Source organism: Homo sapiens, chromosome 8, assembly GCF_000001405.40.
Source record: "Homo sapiens chromosome 8, GRCh38.p14 Primary Assembly".
Lineage (NCBI taxonomy): Eukaryota > Metazoa > Chordata > Mammalia > Primates > Hominidae > Homo > Homo sapiens.
The window spans coordinates 3,094,915-3,113,302 of record NC_000008.11 but is presented as its reverse complement, the minus strand read 5'-3'; the positions used below and the strand labels follow the sequence as shown (position 1 = coordinate 3,113,302).

General features: G+C 40.1%; 1 protein-coding gene across 5 annotated transcripts in view, besides 1 other annotated feature; it reads left to right on the top strand.

Annotated features, from left to right (window-relative positions):
* The window catches only part of CSMD1 (CUB and Sushi multiple domains 1), a 2,059,554-nt gene that overhangs the window by 1,881,612 nt on the left and 159,554 nt on the right, over positions 1-18,388 (top strand). For all 5 annotated transcript variants that reach the window (XM_011534752.3, NM_033225.6, XM_011534753.4 and 2 more), the window contains 5 exons: positions 2,968-3,145; positions 4,555-4,700; positions 5,505-5,585; positions 6,662-6,775; positions 16,266-16,454. In XM_011534752.3, the coding sequence (XP_011533054.1) occupies positions 2,968-3,145; positions 4,555-4,700; positions 5,505-5,585; positions 6,662-6,775; positions 16,266-16,454 (708 nt within the window). The remainder of the gene's footprint in view (positions 1-2,967; positions 3,146-4,554; positions 4,701-5,504; positions 5,586-6,661; positions 6,776-16,265; positions 16,455-18,388) is intronic.
* Positions 4,905-6,104: an enhancer, noted in NCBI's record as "BRD4-independent group 4 enhancer chr8:2964721-2965920 (GRCh37/hg19 assembly coordinates)". NCBI's record gives its function as "activates an origin of replication core promoter dependent on BRD2, P300/CBP, MED14 and CDK7 cofactors, and independent of BRD4, by STARR-seq in HCT116 cells {active_cell/tissue: HCT116}" and the evidence as "EXISTENCE:reporter gene assay evidence [ECO:0000049][PMID:35650434]".

Below are 18,388 nucleotides of genomic sequence, written 5' to 3'. Positions count from 1 at the left end.
GTGTAGCCTCTCTATCCCTTTCAGTTGCTGATGCCATGGTCAGCTGTCTGTCTTCCTGGTCCGGCTTGGACCAGTGTCTCCCAGGCAGACAGGTGAGGAGCTGGGAGGTACCTGCTGTGCTCCACGCAGAGCTTCCTCTTTGATCTCAGTCCAGACTCCACTTTGAACCCCGCCTTCAGGGAAAGGAAGGCAGGGGGGATACGCTTCCTGCCGAGACACGCACACTTCCTGCAGTGGCAGATCACAGGCCCCCGTCTCTGCGGAGCTCAGTGAGACGCCACCACTTGGGGAAATGCAAACGTGCCTTTGATGCCACTGCAGCGAGGATAAAGACGGTCTGGAAGTAGATAAAGATCAGGCCAGGGGAAATGAGAGAGGAAATTTTGACTCCAGATTCTTAGGGTCCTCTTTTTTTCTATCTCTGGACTACCCAGTGGGAGGGCAACAGGATTTTGCTTTGAGAGAATTTTGTGTGCTTATGGATAGAATATTGTTATCTTATGTGATGATGAGCGTCTGTTATTTTCCTTCACAGCACTTGCACCCGTTGAATTTTAAACTTCTGTAGTGTTTGCTTAATATCTCTCTTCATCACTATTCAATAAGCTTTTTACAAAGGCAGCAACAGGGTCTCTACGGTTCACTATGGCATCTCCATCCCAGGCACCCTTACTGGTACATAACCCACTCTCAGTAGATACTTGTTGAGTGAGTGAGTGAAAAGATTTGTTATTTGAATTTGATAGATAAATCATGGCAAGAATCACTGACTTGCTCAATGTTATAGAGGTATTCAGTGGCATAAATAATACTGGAATCAGGAATGTGTTCTACCAAGAAAATCACCACCTCATTTCTTTTGCCCTTTAAGAGGTGGGAACGATGGCTTTTTGTTTTGTTTTCCCAACAGGAAGGGTGCTACTATATATAATGTGGTTATGTAACTACAAGATTCAACTAGAAAAGCAGAAATGCAAAAGGGAAACCTTAGCATTGTAAGTCCACACTAAATTACTAGCACGGAGTCACCTGTAAAGGGTTTCAGCCTAATTGGTTTCATGAGTTCACTCTTAAAGTGCTCTCTGGTTATTCTCTAATTCACCAATTTATCAATTTGTTTATCATGACCTGAGCTAGACAGTAGGGACTCTTGAAAGGAGGTAGCAGCTGGGGTGGGAGGAGATGCAGACCCTGTCTGCTAGAGGCTGACAGTCTCGTGGGAGCCGTGTGCTCTGTGAGCAGAGCCTGGACCTCTAGAGCCGGAGCAAGCAGGAAAGACCTTAAGGAAGCGGTGACAAGGAGTTGAGTTTTAAAGGAAGAGACAAGTTTGCCTTGGCAGAAAAATAGAAGAAAAGCATGTGAACACTCCCTCGACGTCTGGAGGGGAGGAAAAGTGCACTGCCAACAGGAGACAAAAGTAGCTTGTTATGGGGACAGCATGGTTTATGGTCCCATTATTATTATTATTATTTTTAGAGACAGAGACTCTGTCACCCATGCTGGAGTGCAATGGCACAATCTCGGCTTACTACACCCTCTGCCTCCCAGATTGAAGCAATTCTCCTGCCTCAACCCCCCAAGTACTTGGGATTACAGGCGTGCACCACCACGCCTGGCTGATTTTTGTATTTTTAGTAGAGTTAGGGTTTCCCCATGTTGGTCAGGCTGGTCTCAAACTCCTGACCTCAGGTGATCCACCCACCTCAGTCTCCCAAAGTGCTGGGATTACAGAAGTGAGCCACCGTGCCCAGCCTATGGTCCCATTTTAGAGATGACAAGCTTCAGGAGTATCGCAGACCCTGACCTCATAGAATTTATAGAAGTGGAGGCTCCCAGGGATAATTTGCTTCTCCAGCTTACAAATCCAGGTTTGTCTGACTCCAAACCTCACTTAGTAATAATTACGCAGTAAAACTTCTAAAGTAGTCTCTACATACAGTCCCTTCTTCTGATGAAAAGATCCAAATCTCCAGCCAGGTTCAATCCAATGTTCTTTTCAAATCAATACACATCTGTGCAGTTCAACAGTGTATCATATCCCGCCTCATGGTATATTCTCATTTGTTACTAAACTTTTCTTTTTGTTTATCTGTTTGTGTATTTGGGCCTTTTTCCTCTACCTGAATTCTATACCATTTGTGGCAAATCTTTGACAGCCCTTCGAGGTTCAAGAGAGTTGTGAACACTCATCTCACACCTCTTAGCTGTTGGTTTGATTTCAGAGTTCAAAGTTTTATGACTTTGATGCACTATATGAATATTTAAATTAAAGACTATATTTCAGGTTATTCCATTAGTGTTTGGACATGTCATTTTCCATAAATAAAATAATTGCCATTAAAATAATAAATATAAATTTCTTAACAAAAATGAAAATAAATTGGGTATTGTTTTAGTTCTTCAAGTCATTGAACACTAGTAAAAACTGGAAATGCTTCCGCAAAACACCACTTACATAATCTTACATTGCATTATCTTACTTCTTCAGGTATAGATCTGTAAAGAATTGATAATGTCTTTGTTTTAAGGCAAGTAGACTTAGATGACACTCTTTCAGATGGCTTATAAATAGGGTCTAGCAGTGTGAGTTAGAAAAAGCAGTTACATATTTATGAATACTTTCCCCATAATTCATTGTGCTGGACACTCAGATGGGTTATCAGCAGGTCACAAGTGTTAACTAAGGATTTTATTTGAGGCATAGAAGAATAAATTTATCCTAAAGGGATTTTGAAGATATGGAGAATATATTAAATAAAACTGAGATAATTTAGCTTAGACGTATAATTCTTCTAAGGTCTTCAGATTTTAGGGCAGTAATTTTGACAAAATGGTGATTCAGAAATATTTCACACCTATTTCCCATCAGGAAAAATGTTGGCTAAGGTACTTTGGAGTCAAATATTTAGCTTTCTACTCTCTAAAATCAGCTGTATGGCGCTTGTTTTTTCTTGGTTTCCTTTGCAGCCCCTTGTGGGTACAACGTAACTTCTCAGAACGGCACCATCTACTCCCCTGGCTTTCCTGATGAGTATCCGATCCTGAAGGACTGCATTTGGCTCATCACGGTGCCTCCAGGGCACGGAGTTTACATCAACTTCACCCTGTTACAGACGGAAGCTGTCAACGATTACATTGCTGTTTGGTATGAGAACCTCTCAAGTCAAAATATCTGTAATTGTGATCAACAATTCTGACTTAGCATACATATGCCACTTATATACAAGGCACATATTTAGAATAAACTTCTTAGATACTAGAGAAGAAATTCACCAACGAAATCCAGAGATATAGGGAATCAATTTCACATAGTACATGTGGGTTTTGCTACATGGTAGAAATAGGCAGAATTATGTCTGTGTGTCTGCATCTGTGTGTGTATGTATTGGATGTGTGTTTGTGGGTGTGGGTTGGGTTGGGTATGGGTGTGTGATGTGTGTCTCTGTGGGTGTGTCTGTGTGGTGTGTGTGGCTTGTGTATGTCTGTGTGGCTTACGTGTGTGTTTGTGTGTGTGGTGTCTGTGTGTGTGTTGTGTATGTTGTGTGTGTGTGTGCGTGTTGTGTGTGGTGTGGCTGCACTCTTGTTGGAGCCCACAGGGGGAGCAGGAGCAGAAGCCAGCAGCCAGGGCAAGTAAGGCAGGACCTGGAAATGCATGTGAAGGCCTTGGGCTTTGTTCTTGGGGCAGTGAGGATGCACCTGGGCTCTGACAGGCAGAGCTCCAAGGCCAGATATGGGCTGCAGAATGACGGGCTCATTTTGTGGGAAATAAAGTAGCAGAGGGCAAGAAAGGAGACTGGCTTTGAGGTTGTGGAAGTAAATCAGACATCTAAGATGACAACGACCAGAGTCAGTGGATGTGAGAGTGAGGAGAAACAGAATTTGAAATATTAGGTTGACCACAATGAAACTGCCGTTTTAAAACCAAAACAAAACAGCATTCTGTGGTTGGCCATGCCCCATAGATTAAGCTCCATATTTAGAATGGAAAATCTCACAGGTGTTGACATTTTTATTTTATTTTTTTAATTTATTTCTTTTTGAGACAGAGTCTTGCCCTGTCGCACAGCTGGAGTGCAGTGGCGCGATCTTGGCTCACTGGAACCAGCGCCTCCTGGGTTCAAGCAATTCTCCTGCCTTAGCCTGCCGAGTAGCTGGGACTACAAGTGCGTGCCACCAGGCCCAGCTAATTTTTGTAATTTTAGTAGAGACAGGGTTTCACCATGTTGGCCAGGCTGGTCTCAAACTCCTGACCTCAGGTGATCTGCCTGCCTTGGCCTCCCAAAGTGCTGGGATGACAGGCATGAGCCACCAGCACCGGTGAGTGTTGACATTTGACAAGTGCCGAGTGCCTGTGGAACATTAATGAAAGACAGAGACTGGAGGGTTCCTCAACTTTGTGGACATTCAACATCTTGATGTTTACAAACACAGTATCCTGAGAATGCATATGTTTTATTGCTTTTATTAAAAAAATTAATTCATTAGCCAAAGTTTCCATAAATCTCACTCAGAAGTAAATATCCTTAGCCAGCCACCTCTTTCTGTCTTTCCTAGGGACGGTCCCGATCAGAACTCACCCCAGCTGGGAGTTTTCAGTGGCAACACAGCCCTCGAAACGGCGTATAGCTCCACCAACCAAGTCCTGCTCAAGTTCCACAGCGACTTTTCAAATGGAGGCTTCTTTGTCCTCAATTTCCACGGTCAGTTGATTTTCACTCCGTTAGTTAAGACTGAGAATTCCATGTGGTGTTTCCTGCAGTGTTGTCCCACGCCTTGTTTCCAGCTGAAGTTTCTTGATTCAGCCGAGGGCGTGTATGATTCTTTTGCACTGGAGGCCAGCGTTTCCTGTGGTCCTTTTTTTGTTTAATGATGTCTTTATTATTTCACATCGTATCCAGCTTGGATTTATTCCAAGATACATGTATCCTAAGTGAAACTCTAAGATGAAGACCATTGAAAGAGATTTGGTACCTTTTATAGATTTACTCATCCCTGTCTCAAGATAAGGTGTTATAGCAAATGTCATGTAACTATAAATGGTGTGAAAGCAAACCTCCAATAATCCTGGGAATGCACTCTAAACGATATGTAGAACATCTGTCAATCAATCGCTTATCTCTCACGAACACTGCCACCTACAGAATTCCTCAGGACACGGGACAGGGCAGACGTTATCAAATCTGCACATGGACAGGGAGCCAGGTTGTGACTGTTGAGTCATTCTTGCAGAATTCCAAACATCTGTAAAGTGTGTTTATTTAAATGGTATACTTTAAAAAATAATTGTACACTTTTTTCCTTGGGCTTTAACTGTTTTTTGGCACTAAATAATAATATGAACATTTGAAGCTTGGGAATTTTATAAAGCTATGATTCAGGAATAGAGACATTTCAGTCCGTGTACTTAAGCATTATAACAACTGCAAGATGAATGTTTTGTAATAGTTGTGTTTATTCAGCAAGTGTAATTGCAATTATTATTATTCTTTCCATTAATCATTTAGCATTTCAGCTCAAGAAATGTCAACCTCCCCCAGCGGTTCCACAGGCAGAAATGCTTACTGAGGATGATGATTTCGAAATAGGTAATACTTTCTTCATTACAATACCATGAATTCAGCACGACATTTTTTTACACCCACTTCTCATTGTAATCATTACTCAGACAAGTTAATGAGTAATTTGTCAGAGAAACAAAAACAGAAACAAAGAACAAACTATCCTTAAAGTATTGCTGAGAACTTATACGGAGGTCATGTATCAAATAGAAAATGTCTGTCCCTCTTCATTACCATGATTTTTTTTTGTTTTGCCATTTGAATTTTGATGTCAGTTTGAACATTTTTTTCCTCTACAACATTTGGTAGTTCATAGTTTTTAATAAAGTATTCAGAGACAGACTTGGGCAGATATTTGCTTTCAGTTAGGGGGACACATTCATGCACTTGAGAAAAATCTGAATCATTTGCGGCTGAAAGGATGATTACATAACAGTGACATTTCATTGAAACTGGGATATAATAAGAGAAAATATTTAGTGATGATATTTAGGATTTCTGCTGTATCTTTTTACATTAATGATCTAATTTATTCAATACTCTTCTGGTCATACTGAGAAAGCAGTGATGGCATATGTTTATGGTATAGTTATTGCAACCCAGGATTTTTCAGCCCCAGTTATAAAACTCTGCCCTGTGTTTCAGACCACTGGTCAAACTACGTGACCCAATTTCTGCTGTCCTCACCCTGGCTTAGTTAATTGGAACATTGTGCTAAGTACCAAGGTCAGAGATGAGTCTCTGTGGATGCTGTAAAGCCATTTGATTTTACAGTCTTGCTTAAACCATAGCTTCTACTTTACTTTTTTTTTCTTTTCGTCAGCAATCACTGGGGAAGGGAAACCAACACGGATGCCTCAGTCAAGGAAGAAAAGCTGCCACATCATTTCAGTACTAATATCGGCTAAGCTTAATAGAGCATTTTTATAAATTAAGAACTTAAAACGGTATTATTTTTAAAAGACTAAAAATAAATACAGACATAGTTTCTAAAAAGATTTGCAAGTTGATTTAATTCATTTAAGTAGTCCTACATGTGTCACACCTTCACACACTCAGAAGGTCACACACAATTTCCTGGTTTGTTGCATTGACTCTTCTAGGAGATTTTGTGAAGTACCAGTGCCACCCCGGGTACACCTTGGTGGGGACCGACATTCTGACTTGCAAGCTCAGTTCCCAGTTGCAGTTTGAGGGTTCTCTCCCAACATGTGAAGGTATGCACTGTTCGATACTAAAACTACATAAACTTATTCAACATGGAAAATTGTATTGTTTGTATTGGTCTGCATTTCTTTGTATAGATGTGAACTTATTTATTTGTTTATTATTTATTTATTTATCTTGGAGATAGGGTCTTACTCTGTCACCCAGGTGGGAGTACAGTGGTGCAATCATGGCTCACCACAGCCTCAACCTCCCTGGTCTCAGGTGATCCTCCTGCCTCAGCCTCCTGAGTAACTGGGACTACATGCATGCACCACCATGCCTGGCTAATTTTTGGATTTTTTTTTTTTTTTTTGTAGAAATGGGTTTTCAACATGTTACCCAGGCTGGTCTTGAACTTCTGGACTCGAGCTATCTACCTGCCTCAGCTTCCCAGATTGCTAGGATTGCAGGCATGAGCCACTGTACCCAGCCTGCACTTAATCTGTGCTCTGATCCCATTGCAATGAAACTAACATGCTAACAGAAATATCTAATGATGCTTTTTCTTTTATCTAGTCCTAGAAAATAAACCAAGGCCATATCAAATAAGAAATCATGTTTCTCACAGCAATTTATCATGTAAATGTTCAAACATGGCAAAGTTGAAATAATTTTAATACCTGAATAATGTAACACCTGAATATATACCACCTAGCTTCCGCTATGAAAACTTACAAAGTATTTCCTTTATCACATGCCTATCTGTTATCTTTCTAGCCATTTATTAAGCTACGCTATATTTTTGATGCATTTCAAGGCAAATTTTGAATATCATTTCGTTTTGCTATAAATACCTCAGCATGCATATAATTAGCTGGTGTTTAATATTTTGATGTAAATTTATAAAAAATGAAACATGCACATCTCAAGTTTTTCTCACATATGTTTAACATATGTAGACCATGTGCAAGAGTATAGACAATATACAATAATAGAACAAGATACTGAGGCTGAATCTGTTGATTTAATCTATTAGAAGACAAGTAGATTACTTTTAAAATATTAATAGACACCACTTTCAAGTATCATTGAATGAAAAAGGCTTGAAAAACTTTACATAAGCTCAAATGCTCAAGTAAGTCGAAACATCATTAGTTCACCTATCCAAAAGCTTTCCTAATTAGAATAGTTTTTATGACTTCAAAATCATAGTGAAGTGCAGATGTAGTGCTTTTGAGCATTGTGGCTCTTTCAAGGAATCCAACTATTGTCATTCCTTAGGGTGAGTGACACAGCTATAAGGGCCCACGATTTAGGAAGACAGGACCCGGAGCCAGAGTCACCCCATCAGGCAGCTTTGAGCAAGTCACTCTTCCCTGCACTGTGCACACAGAGGATGATTTATCCGCTTTATTTTTGAGATTGTTGTAAAGACTCACCGAGTATTAAATGAATTTATCTTTTTGAGTGTTTTATAATGTTAACTGCCTTCCCTGTAAATGGAAGTTTTCTTTGCAAAAGTATCGACTTCGCAGTGGTTTTGCAGATGCTCACACCTGTGCATGGATCCTCTTCAAAGGTCTGATAACTGGCCGGGCGCGGTGGCGCACGCCTGTAATCCCAGCATTCTGTGAGGCCGAGGTGGGTGGATCACCTGAGGCTGGGAGGTCGAGACCAGCCTGACCAACAGGGAGAAACCTGTCTCTACTGAAAATACAAAATTAACTGGGCGTGGTGGCGCATGCCTGTAATGCCAGCTACTCAGGTGGCTGAGTCAGGAGAATTGCTTGAACCCAGGAGGTGGAGGTTGCAGTGAGCCGAGATCTTGCCATTGCTCTCCAGCCTGGGAGACACAGCAAAACTCTGTCTCAAAAAAAAAAAAAAAGAAAAGAAAAAAAAAAGTCTGATAACTTTGTGCATTCTCATTCTGGAATGAGGCAGGATTCCAGGCACCCTGAAAGAGAGAAACAGTCTTCTACATCTGAAGAAAAATTGGCATACATTTTGGAATGAATTATTATCAGATATCCATAATAACTTAGATTTTTTTTTTGAAAAAATATTAACATTGAAGTTGTATCTACATGAGAACTATTGATTACAGGAAACCGCTACCTGAGCAGAGGGCCAGACCCTTGGCCTGCTCGTCTGTTTAAACGCTAAGCAGACCGTAGGCTGTGGAAGTCATCAAAATCTGTGCCTCTAGGTTGCCTTACTTAGAAGTGGGGATTGCATTGGGTGCAAAGTCAGGAGATCCAAGTCACTGTCTTCTTAGAAGAAAGCCAACGTCTGTGCCATCTTCCAGGAGCAACAATGGTCTATTTATGGATTCTTTCCTCAAGGTGGGGGGATATAAAAAGTGTTCATCTTCTGCCATTCTATATGGAAATGAACCCAGGCAAACCTTCACATTTTTAAGGTACATTTTAATCCCAACAAACAAAGCCTCAAGTTTCTCAGAATAGAAGACTTTAACTAAAGGTGATCTTAGCTGAGAAGAGAAGAAAGGCATACGTATGTATCAAATGTGCTGCTCTAAAAACAGGGAATTTTGGTCAGGGACAGTGGCTCATGCCTGTAATCCCAGAACTTTGGGAGGCCGAGGTGGGCAGATCACCTGAGGTTAGGAGTTCAAGACCACCGTGACCAACATGAAGAAACCCCGTGTCTACTGAAAATACAAAATTAGCTGCGTGTGGTGGCACGTGCCTGTAATCCCAGCTACTTGGGAGGCTGAGGCAGGAGAATCACTGGAACCTGGGAGGCAGAGGTTGCAGTGAGCCAAGATTGTGCCATTGCACTCCAGCCTGGGCAACAAGAGCAAAACTACATCATTTTTTTTTTTTAAAAAAAAAAGGAATTTGATTAGGGTGTCCTCTCCAGATGAACCAAGTTCTTATTTAAATGACGTTTAATTCATGACAAGCCAAGAGCAGAGAATAATCACGCACTGCATGACGTTTTGAACCGTGACAGACCGTGTAGATAAATGTGGTCCTGTAAGATTATAATGAAGCTGAAAATTCCTACCACCGAGTGACGTCTAGCAGTTGCAGTACTACGGGGCCACGCATTACCTTTTCAATGTTGAGATGAGTTCAGATGTGAGAATGCTTACCCTTGTGTTCCAGTTGCCTACAGTCTTCAGTACAGTCTCATACTGTGCAGGTGTGTGGTTTGGGAGCAATAGGCTACACCATATGGCTTAATTGTGTAGCAGGCTGTACCATCTGGGTGTGTTTAAGTGTTCCTGGACCAAACTGAAGGTGGGGCTGCTATTTTTCATGTCCCAATAACGAGATGCAGATAAACTGAGGAGGAAGAGAGTTTTTATTTCTATAACTGGTTACAGGGAGAAGGCCTGGAAATTATCGCCAGACCAACTCAAAATTACAAAGTTTTTTAGAGCTTATGTACCTCCTTAGCTATATGTCTATGTGTAAGTGTGTATTTATTTAAAGACATAAGTGATTAACTTTTTAAAATCTACAGCTAAGGTCTGAGTGCTGAAGACCTTCCTCTGGAGCCTCAGTAAGTTTACTGAATCTAAATGGGTCCAGGTGCTGGGGTGATTAGTCTTGTTTTGTCTCCCGCTAAATCACAAAGGTTTGGGGAGCTCCTTTAGACCCCAATAAACTTGTTTGTGGAGGCCTGGGGAGTTTCTTCAGACCGCTAATAAAACTCGTTGAATTCTAAAAGGGTCCTCCTGTTAAGAATTCTTTTGTTATCTTGTCATGCTTCAAGGCCCAGGAGAAGCCTAGGGAAAACTCTTTGTTACCTTCCAGGCTTTGTATAAAGGCGCTGGCTCTTACAGCTTTTAATATTTAACGGAAACACTCCGTTCCAGGCTTTGTATAAAGGCGCTGGCTCTTTCAGCTTTTAATATGTAACTGAAACACTCCGTTAGTATGGAAACAGTTGTTATGGAGGCCTGCATTGGTGAGAGTGGCCTCCCTCAGAAGTGCATGCTGTTATCTTTGCATGATGACATGATCCCCTAAAGATGCATTTCTCCCAGCCTGTCCCCATCTTTAAGTGGCACATGTCTAAATCAACACAACATGAGCGTTATTCTCTAAATTTCCTCATTTGTCACAGACAGTTACAGGGAGCATTCTGCAGACAAAATTTGCCGACTTTTACTCACGCTGAAGTTTCCCAAGCCCCACTCCACACCTCAGGAGGCGAACAGGATAACCTAGTTCTCTTCTCTTTCAAGTCACGAGTCAATTTGTTTAAAACAACCGGAGAGTGATCTTAGCTGTCATTCTCTAAACAACTCATCATTTGAAAACAAACAGGAAATAAGACCCTAGATGTCTTTTACCAAATCCTTAATCACTGAATCACTTAATTATCATCTTTCTTTAAGTACTTTTCTACTATTTGATTGATTCGATTGTGCTCAAGTGGGGGCCCATCTCCCAATAAATTCTTCAGAAAAATTACGTTAGCTATTAGTCTGTCTTCTTCAAATGTCATAACCACACTTTTAGAAGTTGTGCTTTGAAACTTATCACCATCCCAGCACTTTTGGAGGCCGAGGTGGGAGGATCACCTGAGGTCAGGAGTTCGACACCAGCCTGGCCAACATGGTGAAACGCTGTCTCTACTAAAAATACAAAAATTAGCCAGATGTGGTGGCAGACATCTGTAATCCCAGCTGCTCTGGAGGCTGAGGCTGGAGAATTGCTTGAACCCCGCATGTGGAGGTTGCAGTGAGCTGAGATCACGTCACTGCACTCCAGCCTGAGCGACAGAGCAAGACTCTGTCTAAAAAAAAAAAAAAAAAAAAAGAAAAAGAAAGAAACAAAATTATCACCAATTTTAGGGAAACAAGGAGAGTGCATTGTTCTTTGAAAGTCAGGATTGGTCGGATGCGGTGGCTCATGCCTATAATCCTATTACTTTGGGAGGCTGAGGGGAGCGGATCACAAGGTCAGGAGATCGAGACCATCCTGGGTAACATGGTGAAAACCTATCTCTACTAAAAATACAAAAAAAAATTAGCCAGGCATGGTTGTGGGCCCCTGTAGTCCCAGCTACTCCGGAGGCTGAGGCAGGAGAATGGTGTGAACCCCGGAGGTGGAGCTTGCAGTGAGCTGAGATCGTGTCATTGCACTCCAGCCTGGGCGTCAGAGCGAGACTCCGTCTCAAAAAAAAAGTAGTCAGCCTTATATGGAGATATTACTGTGCTAGACACTCATCTTAATGTAGAAAAACCTGAGTAAGAGACATCACAGAAGTGGCTTTTCTCCTGTTAAGGAAAGAGAGGCATTTCAAAAAGTGAAGAGAATTAATAACAAAGGTTTGGAAACACAAAGGAGGGTGTGGCGTTGAGGAAAAAGGAGGAGATGGCTTCCTACTGCTTGCTCTCAGGGTGTTTTGGGGGAAGAGGTGGTAAATTAAATCAGGCTGGAAAGCTAGACTAGGACCTGACTTTAAAGGTCTTCAACGTCAGGTTTCTTCATCCTGTGGACCTTGGGGGATCCTTCAATAGTTTTTAGAATATTCATTTCTTTAGAAAAAAAAAAAAAAAACACCATACGTATTCAGTGAACATTAAGGAGATTCAGTGACCTTCTGATAATGATCATTCGAAAGCAGCAGATGGAGGCGACATAAAAACCGCCGCTGCCCAGCTCCAGCTTCCTTCTATATGTGCTGGATAATAGCAGGCATCACAAGGGCTCTGGGGCAGCCTTTTCCCTAGTTCACAGAGGGCTCACCTTCTCCAATTCTGTCATACCTATAGGTGCTTTTAAGAATAATCTTAGTTACTCATAAATCCCAATTTATGCTATTAATCCTAGAGTACTAATCCTCATCTGCTATTAGTTTTGCTGAAGGCCTATGAGATGCGTTGAATAAGATGCTTTGGGTTTTAAGCCTCACATTTTATTTTTCTTTAAAAACAATCTGGGGCACTAACATTGTGCAGAAGGATCATAACTCGAGGCGCAGGTGATGTCTGAGAGAGGCAAGCTTTCACGTGTGTTTTTGACAGGTGCTCCCCTATGGTGAGAGGTTTCCCAGATTCCCAAGTGGAGACACAGTTGTTTTCTAATGTGTGATTGCTGCTAAGAAATAAACATCTCAGCTATAGGACCGCACTGCGGTCCCTTTCAGCTCTCCCACTCCAACTGAGTATTGCTCTAAGCAACAGTTTATAACACTGAGGAGAAGGAGTGGTTCCATATGAAAGAGCAGAAGAAACACAAGAAAACAAATCACTTTCGCTCATGGGTAAACACCTCCAAATGCTTCTTAGGCCGAGCATGGTGGAGGTTGAGGTGGAAGGATTGCTTGAGCCCAGGAGTTGGAGACCAGCCTGGGCAAAATGGCAAAACAACATTTCTAAAATAAAAATACAAAAATTAGCCAGGAGGGGTGGTGTGCGCCTGTAGTCCCAGCTACTCGGGCAGCTGAGGTGGGAGGATTGTTTGAGCCTGGGAGGTCAAGGCTGCAGTGAGCCGTGATCCTGCCACTGCCCTCCAGCCTGGCTTGGGTGACAGAGTGAGACCCTATCTCAAACAAACAAACAAGTTAAAAAACAAAACCAAACCTCAAAACACCAAAAAACCCCACATGAATTTTGAAAACAATATGTATGACTGAAAAAAGTATTGCTAAGTATTTTAAGAAAAATGATACAAATGATAAATGATACAAATGAAAAATGGTACAAATTCTCTACAAATTATCTGCTACCTCTTTGGTTGGAGAGAATTGTAGAAACTGAGAGTCCTCTGTAAACTAGTGGGAATTATATAACAAGTTGTTTATATTTTCATTTTGTCTTTCCTAAGAAACAAAATCAGCATTTCAAATATGAAAGGAATAAGAATGGCTATGCTTAAAATGCTGCTTCTGGGTTAGATCATTGCACTGCTGTCAAACCCCAGGATGTGCGAATAGGTTTTCAGGTGGATTTTAGCAACTCAGTAAAGGTTTCTTACTTCCAGATGGCCTGAAGTTCCAATGTCAACTGATAACTATAGCTGCAGTTATAAAATCTCAGTCCTCATAAAAATGCAGGGTAGAGAGATTGGCTAACTGTTTTTCAAGTGTAATCCCACAAAATGAAACGCCCTCTGGTAGCATTTTTTTGTTAGTATAAGGTCAGCCTAGAGAAGGATGAATAGACCCAAAGTCAGGTGAATAAGTTTATTGAACCTGCCATCTGCTCCACCACAGACAGAAGAGGCAGCCCTGAGCTTACAAAATGAGGGGTTTATATGGGGGAGAGGGACCCTGGGGTTGTTTGTTGGTTAACTTTGCCATATATTATCTTGTGACGTTTATGGCAGTAGCTAGATGAAGGAACTTACAGGAGGGTGTAGGTAAAGTTTATTTATGCTTCCCACGACCTCCCTCTGTGTGGTCTGGATGGTTTGTAATTGCGGTTTGCTTATTGTAGTAAGGTCTGATGAGTGAAGTCTGCTGGCTTCACTGCAGCGCTTGGATAAGGCTTAGAAATGTAAAGAGGCTTGGGGGAAGGGTGAACGGCACGGAGAAGAGTTGCAGGGCATTAAGGGGAGAGGTGGGCAGTACAGAGGGGTTTGGGGGGAGTGTCGGCAGTACCGAGAAGCTTTTTGGGGCGGTTGGTCCCTAACAGTTATGAAAAGGTAGGCATGTGGTGTAATCATCCCTAGTCCTTACAACAGTTTCTGCCCACATAGTGCTTTAGATTTAAAAAAAAAAAAATTGTGTATATTGGCTCTAATTAAAACCCTGAGGGGGAGCTATTATTACTCTGTACTTACACGTCAGAGCCAAGGAAAGCCCTGGTTGTTATTGCAAAGTCAAGGCGGGTCTGTGGAGCTTCTAAAACTTGAGGTCCTAGCCTGCACAGATATACACAGGCACGGACCCTAATTTCATTATTTTTTCTTTCTTAAAATATCACATTAACTTTGAATGGGCATCGTGTATTTTACAAAGCGATGAGGTCACCATCACAGAAGAAAATTAGACCTTTAACTCAGTTGTTTCAATCTGTGTGTTCTGATTAGGATTATTTTAGTTTATATTATTGCCATTAATTTATCATTGTAAGTATTTTTAAAATCTCACCTAAAATATATGTTATTTAAAGAGTTCTATGAAATGTTTTATGATTGGTGGTCTTATGTCTAAACATTTTCTAAATTTTAAAATATATGTTAATTAGAATGCTAAGATAAATGGAAGAAAATAGGAAATAAATTACTTTTCAAAAGGCAGTTACTTGAATAAAAACACATATCATAAGCTTCGCTCATCTGTTTGAAAAGCTTCTATCTTGAAATGTATGTATAAATAGCACACATTTAACTAATTAAAAGGCGATAACTCAATAAATAAATTTAACAAAAGCTCTTTTTCATTAAGGAAAAGGTGATTAACTATAGAACTCTTAACACTCTACAAGTAATTTTGATATACATTTTTTATTTTTGAACCATTACCAGTAATAGAAAAAAATTTCCCTTAATAGTTTTATACACAAACTGTTTCTGGAAGATAATTCAGTGATGAGAGAAATTACTAATTAGGAGACTCTAGTGTTTTGCTTTGCATGTCCAGATCTCTGCAGATTGTTTTTATGTTGATTAAACTGGAAGTAGTTGAATAATAATTTTTCAAAAAGCAAGAGGAGAAAAGATACGATGTATCCATAGTATCTTCATGATACATTTACAATTAATTCATCCCTTAGGAATCAGGGCTCCTGCTGAGATGTCCCATGTGGGATTGAGACCAGGTCTCTAATTCTTCCTCTTCCCAGGGTCCCGAGCAATCACATCGAACGTTTAAATATTACTATGCTAAGTACAGTAGTTCCCCCCACCCCCGATCCGAGGTTTTCCATTCTGCAATTTCAGTTACCTGTGATCAAGCACAGTCTGAAAATATTAAATGAAAAATTCCAGAAATAACAACACATTTAAAATTTTGCACTGTTCTGAATAGCCTGATGAAATCTGTCATCATCCCCGGGCTATGTCTCACCCAGGACATGAATCCCAGCTTTGTCCAGTATATCCATTGCCCTGTATGATGTGATTGCACCAGAAACGACGTAGGATTCTGGACCATCTGCAGCATCAGGCATCACTAGGGCTCTTGGAATGTATCCCCAGGGGTAAGGGGGCCTACTGTATATTTAAAGCCAAAATAAATATGAGTTTTCTTTTCTTATTGCATAACATTTCACTGTATTTCTGTAATACTCTTTTGAAATGGTGAGGTTCTTCTTTGTAGTAGAGTTAGGAAATCTTGCATTGTATGATGAAATCCAGGATGCATCTGCCCCAAATTAAGGTGTGTGGGAGATGCAGGGGCCAAAGGAGTGTGCAGGCTGAGTGTAGAGAACTGCAAAGAGAAAGATGCACAATTCTCATGATTATTCAATGTTGCCCTCCCTCTGTGTTTGCATTCGGTATTAAATTTGGCCAGAGCTCAATAAGATTGCTTTTTCCTTTCATTGACTTGTTTATACAGGGATAGAAACTATCCTATTGCAGTTGGAATCATTTTATTAAAGCAAACTTTTGCTGGTACTTTTCTCTCCAGCACAATGCCCAGCAAATGAAGTCCGGACTGGATCATCGGGAGTCATTCTCAGTCCAGGGTATCCGGGTAATTATTTTAACTCCCAGACTTGCTCTTGGAGTATTAAAGTGGAACCAAACTACAACATTACCATCTTTGTGGACACATTTCAAAGTGAAAAGCAGTTTGATGCACTGGAAGTGTTTGATGGTAAGTTTCTTTAATCTTTGTAGAGCAGTGACCTCGGCATCATTGATAAAAACACTATTACAATGTTTTAGTAACATAAAGACTGGAATATATTCTTGAGTTAACTTATGTTTTCCCAAAGCAAACAAAAAATAAACTAGTTTGGGGTTATGCATTCTCAAGAGATCAAGCAGTCTGTAAAACATTACCATATGATTGTTGTACTGTATTAGTCCATTTTCATGCTGCTGATAAAGACAGACCCAAGACTAGGAAGAAAAAGAGATTTAATGGATTTACAGTTCCAGATGGCTGGGGAGACCTCACAATCATGGAGGAAGGCAAGGAGGAGCAAGTCACATTTTACATGGATGACGGCAGGCATGAGAGACAGAGAGAGAGAAAGAGTGGGTGCACGCACATGAGAGAGAACTTGTGCAGGGAAAAATCCCATTTTTAAAACCATCAGATCTTGTGGGACTTACTATCAGGAGAACAGCATGGGAAAGACCCACCCACATGATTCAATTACCTCCCACCAGATTTGTCCCACGATAGGTGGGAATTGTGGGATTTACAATTCAAGAAGAGATTTGGGAGGGGACACAGCCAAACCATAGGATTGTTAACATTGTCACTTTTCAAACAGTTAGAATGCTTAGGAATACACCCTGAAAGTGTACCAAATTTTCTTTAACCATTATTTGATTTTTTTAACACAGTGATTTAGAGAAGATGATCTCAATAACTCTTTCTCTCTCTCCTATATGTAATATCAATTCACAAGATATTTTAGGAAACTTAGGCCTAGAGGTATTTTTGTCATCTAAATAATTATTTTACTGGAAATATGTAAAAATCATGGCTCACAGAGATTTCTAGATGATAAATGCTACAGGAGTTTTTCAAGTGTGATTCTTTGAAATAGTGAAATATGGTTAACTGAACACGTGCAATACTGTTTTCAACAATAGTCTTATGATTTTTTTGCAATTTCAATGAAAATTTTAACAGTGATATGATTAAAAGTAATATGTGGTTGAATCGTCAATTTGAAATGGAAGGAATGTTAATATTTCTCTTTGTGTGAAACCGTCATAGCCCAGAAAATTAGACCAGTTACAATTATGGCTGTACATAATAACAGGGTTTTCACATATTTTGAAAGATTTGTCATTGAGTTCAGATAAATTACAATCAATTCAGTGAAAAAAATAAATTATTCTAATGGATTTGATGTGTGTTTGTATTCACTTTACTGAGTTGATGAGTCAAATTGCTTGTATGGATAGACATCACTGAATCAATTAATGTATTTTCAAAAATGAATTAATAAATTGGAAATTAAACTCACATTTTTGTATATAGAAGCAGAGGACTGGAGAGCAATATTTTCATTTTCAGAGCATGGCTTTTTAAATGTGTATATTAAAACAAACATACATTATTTACAACTTTTTCTTTAGTCTGTAGAGTAGAGAGAAGTAACTCATTACGCAAGTATAAAAATGGGGTTTCTCTTGTTGAGGAAGAAGAGAGGTAAACTCTATTTGAGGCCTATTAGGTATTATGCAAAAATTAAAATGTAGAGCATCCAACCTCACAGGCTGTATGTCTGTGTTTGTGTTTGTGTATATATAGACATATATATCCCTACAAAGGACATAAAAGTATATTTAATTATTTTGAACTTATGCATGTTCTTTTGTTTCACAGTAGTTGAATTGAAATATACTGGCCATGCTTTTAAGTCTCTTACTTTCAGGAGCAAATTATTTATCAATAATTTATGCACTCATGGCTTGCAATTTGATCTCCTGCAAATTTGGACAGATCATAGCCATTATAAACAACAGGTAAAATACGTTAGAGACAATAGCATAATACTTGCTGTCAAAATTATCAGAAATCAGTGACTAGGATTGTCTGGTCTTAAAGTTTTTTCTACAAAGTGA